The 4,650-nt window shown below is 42.3% G+C and overlaps 1 annotated feature.

Moving 5' to 3' along the window:
- Positions 1,788-2,288: an enhancer, noted in NCBI's record as "NANOG-H3K4me1 hESC enhancer chr14:80554864-80555364 (GRCh37/hg19 assembly coordinates)". NCBI's record gives its function as "activates a minimal SCP1, AML or CMV promoter by ChIP-STARR-seq in naive H9 embryonic stem cells {active_cell/tissue: H9 hESC(naive)}" and the evidence as "EXISTENCE:reporter gene assay evidence [ECO:0000049][PMID:30033119]".

Below are 4,650 nucleotides of genomic sequence, written 5' to 3' on the forward strand. Positions count from 1 at the left end.
ACTTGCAGCTGACTGTAGATGCATAAACCAGGCCAACTGACATGATCAGCTTACCCCAGATCAGCAGAACCCTGCAGACTCATGAACTAAATGACTGTTTATTATTGTATACTGATAAAAGTTTGTGTCCATAGATCATTGATGTTATCTAGAATTCCTTCTGTCTACTTAGTATTGAAATTCTATAAAGTTTGGTGTCTTGGGCTTTCACACATTGTTCCTTGAAAATGTGGATAAAATCACTGGTTGTATTATATGGAACAAGAGGGAATATTTCTCTCTTGATGCATGGTTCTGTTTTTTAAAGACAATGTCTGTGTGGCAGGGCTGTGATCTGTAGGAGGTCACAAACAAGAAGGGAGAAGGTGGCCTTCATTAGTGAACCTTTTCGGGGGCAATCTTTGATCTCAGCAAAGATTAATGGATGGGAATTGAATTGCTTTGGAAACGTATTCTTGTTTTGCTTTCAATTCTCAGCTAAATCTGAGAAGACAAGTTAACTTGGTTGAAGATTATAAAAGTATAAAAGATCTTCATCTTAGAAAAAGACCTGGGTGCAAATCCTGTCTGTGTTGCATTACTTCAGGCCAGTGCCCATAAAATAAGGACAATCTTACCTATATCACAACTCTGTTGTAAGGATTATGTGAGCCACAGTCTTACCCCAGGAGGAGTCTTTTCTATCCTTCTGGTCACACAGCCAAAACAGGTGACATGACCAGGTTCAACAGCAATAACCAAAAGAATATAATAGAAACTAGGTACAAACTATCAGACTGAACACTTCTTATAAACAGGTTGTCCTTCACCTGCTCGGATGTTAGTACAAGGCTATATAAATCACCAGTTAGTACCTTTTATTCAGGTTTGGTCAAGAGTCAGAACTATGGCTCCAGGCCATAAGATAAGCACAGCATTGCAACAGAGCAGCTGACATGAATTCTGTACCTACACAGTTCATTCTCCAAATCTCCACCAAACTGTCTTAATTATGAATCTCTCATCATCATTCTTTCTGAATCTTTTATGATATTTATAAACAAACATGGTAGACCCATAATAATTGAATAAATGCTATTCGAATACTGTTGTGTAACATGTTTAAAGAGAAGTTTGGCTGGTGGTTTGGTTCATTTTTTCCTACAACCTGCTTCAAGTCATCCCTGGTGTGCTGTTCCTTCTTTCAGAGTAAACACTTATTTGACGGTGATATGATGGATAATGACAGCATGGTGGCATTTAAGAAGCTTATGCATAAATCTTTTATCCTTGTTTGAGTTGAGTATGAAATCACTCTCAGGAACAGTAATAAGTGGCAACCAGCATGTTGCTGTCCCATCAAAGGCCTATCATTCATGTAGCTAAACTCTGAGGTGAACTTTTGGGCACTCTGAGCCATTTTGGGAAGAAGTCGAGTATAATAAAGATGTTCTTCCTCTGAAATGATTCCACCAAATCAACTGAGGTCTTAACGATGTTTGTGTATGTATATGCGTGTGTGTGTGTGTATTTCTGTACTGACCCTTCTAAATAGAAGCATAGGTCCTTATCGCCCTGACCTCTCCCACACATATTTATAGATTTTTTTTCAATATAAGAAATAATTTTAGAAATCAATTTATTAATTTTGGAAAACATTAAATTGATTAATTTTCAGAAATTAATTAATTTGAAACATAATGTTTCAGTCAATGAATGACATCATGCAAATCTATGGCTCTTCTCAGTCATCCCACTACCAAGAGAGAATGCAGAGGCTAGGGAGTGGCTGCCAATTTAAATGCTTTATGTGGAGGGGAGGAGCCAAAATGGCCGAATAGGAACAGCTCCGGTCTACAGCTCCCAGAGTGAGCGACGCAGAAGATGGGTGATTTCTGCATTTCCATCTGAGGTACCGGGTTCATCTCACTAGGGAGTGCCAGACAGTGGGCACAGGTCAGTGGGTGCAGCACACCGTGCGCGAGCTGAAGCAGGGCAAGGCATTGACTCACTCAGGAAGCGCAAGGGGTCAGGGAGTTCCCTTTCCTAGTCAAAGAAAGGGGTGACAGACGGCACCTGGAAAAACGGGTCACTCCCACCCGAATATGGCACTTTTCCGATGGGCTTAAAAAACGGCGCACCAGGAGATTATATCCTGCACCTGGCTTGGAGGGTCCTACGCCCACGGAGTCTCGCTGATTGCTAGCACAGCAGTCTGAGATCAAACTGCAAGGCGGCAGTGACGCTGGGGGAGGGGCGCCCTCCATTGCCCAGGCTTGCTTAGGTAAACAAAGCAGCCGGGAAGCTCCAACTGGGTGGAGCCAACCACAGCTCAAGGAGGTCTGCCTGCCTCTGTAGGCTCCACCTCTGGGGCAGGGCACAGACAAACAAAAAGACAGCAGGAACCTCTGCAGACTTAAATGTCCCTGTCTGACAGCTTTGAAGAGAGCAGTGGTTCTCCCAGCATGCAGTCAGAGATCTGAGAATGGGCAGACTGCCTCCTCAAGTGGGTCCCTGACCCCTGATCCCTGAGCAGCCTAACTGGGAGGCACCCCCCAGTAGGGGCAAACTGACACCTCACACGGCCGGGTACTCCTCTGAGACAAAACTTCCAGAGGAACGAGCAAACAGCAGCATTCGCAGTTCACAAAAACCCACTGTTGTGCAGACACCGCTGCTGATACCCAGGCAAACAGGGTCTGGAGTGGATCTCTAGCAAACTCCAACAGACCTGCAGCTGAGGGTGCTGTCTGATAGAAGGAAAACTAACAAACAGAAAGGACATCCACACCAAAAACCCATCTGTACATCACCATCATCAAAGACCAAAAGTAGATAAAACCACAAAAATGGGGAAAAAACAGAGCAGAAAAACTGGAAACTCTAAAAAGCAGAGCACCTCTCCTCCTCCAAAGGAATGCAGTTCCTCACCAGCAACGGAACAAAGCTGGATGGAGAATGACTTTGACGAGTTGAGAGAAGAAGGCTTCAGATGATCAAACTATGAGCTACAGGAGGAAATTCAAACTAAAGGCAAAGAAGCTAAAAACTTTGAAAAAAATTTAGACGAATGTATAACTAGAATAACCAATACAGAGAAGTGCTTAAAGGAGCTGATGGAGCTGAAAGCCAAGGCTCGAGAACTACGTAAAGAATGCAGAAGCCTCAGGAGCCGATGTGATCAACTGGAAGAAAGGGTATCAGCGATGGAAGATGAAATGAATGAAATGAAGCGAGAAGGGAAGTTTAGAGAAAAAAGAATAAAAAGAAATGAACAAATCCTCCAAGAAATATGGGACTATGTGTAAAGACCAAATCTACATCTGATTGGTGTATCTGAAAGTGACCAGGAGAATGGAACCAAGTTGGAAAACACTCTGCAGGATATTATCCAGGAGAACTTCCCCAATCTAGCAAGGCAGGCCAACATTCACATTCAGGAAATACAGAGAATGGCACAAAGATACTCCTCGAGAAGAGCAACTCCAAGACACATAATTGTCAGATTCACCAAAGTTGAAATGAAGGAAAAAATGTTAAGGGCAGCCAGAGAGAAAGGTCGGGTTACCCACAAAGGGAAGCCCATCAGACTAACAGCAGATCTCTCGGCAGAAACTCTACAAGCCAGAAGAGAGTGGGGGCCAATATTCAACATTCTTAAAGAAAATAATTTTCAACCCAGCATTCATATCCAGCCAAACTAAGCTTCATAATTGAAGGAGAAATAAAATACTTTACAGACAAGCAAATGCTGAGAGATTTTGTCACCACCAGGCATGCCCTCAAAGAGCTCCTGAAGGAAGCACTAAACATGGAAAGGAACAACCAGTACCAGCCGCTGCAAAATCATGCCAAAATGTAAAGACCATCGAGACTAGGAAGAAACTGCATCAACTAATGAGCAAAATAACCAGCTAACGTCATAATGACGGGATCAAATTCACACATAACAATATTAACTTTAAATGTAAATGGACTAAATGCTCCAATTAAAAGACACAGACTGGCAAATTGGATAAAGAGTCAAGACCCATCAGTGTGCTGTATTCAGGAAACCCATCTCACATGCAGAGACACACACAGGCTCAAAATAAAAGGATGGAAGAAGATCTACCAAGCAAATGGAAAACAAAAAAAGGCAGGGGTTGCAATCCTAGTCTCTGATAAAACAGACGTTAAACCAACAAAAATCAAAAGAGAGAAAGAAGGCCATCACATAATGGTAAAGGGGTCAATTCAACAAGAAGAGCTAACTATCCTAAATATATATGCACCCAATACAGGAGTACCCAGATTCATAAAGCAAGTCCTGAGTGACCTAAAAGAGACTTAGACTCCCACACAATAATAATGGGAGACTTTAACACCCTACTGTCAACATTAGACAGATCAACGAGACAGAAAGTTAACAAGGATACCCAGGAATTGAACTCAGCTCTGCACCAAGCCGACCTAATAGACATCTACAGAACTCTCCACCCCAAATCAACAGAATATACATTCTTTTCAGCACCACACCACACCTATTCCAAAATTGACCATATACTTGGAAGTAAAGCTCTCCTCAGCAAATGTAAAAGAACAGAAATTATAACAAACTGTCTCTCAGACCACAGTGCAATCAAACTAGAACTCAGGATTAAGAAACTCACTCAAAACCACTCAACTACA

This window comes from Homo sapiens, chromosome 14 (genome assembly GCF_000001405.40).
Source record: "Homo sapiens chromosome 14, GRCh38.p14 Primary Assembly".
Lineage (NCBI taxonomy): Eukaryota > Metazoa > Chordata > Mammalia > Primates > Hominidae > Homo > Homo sapiens.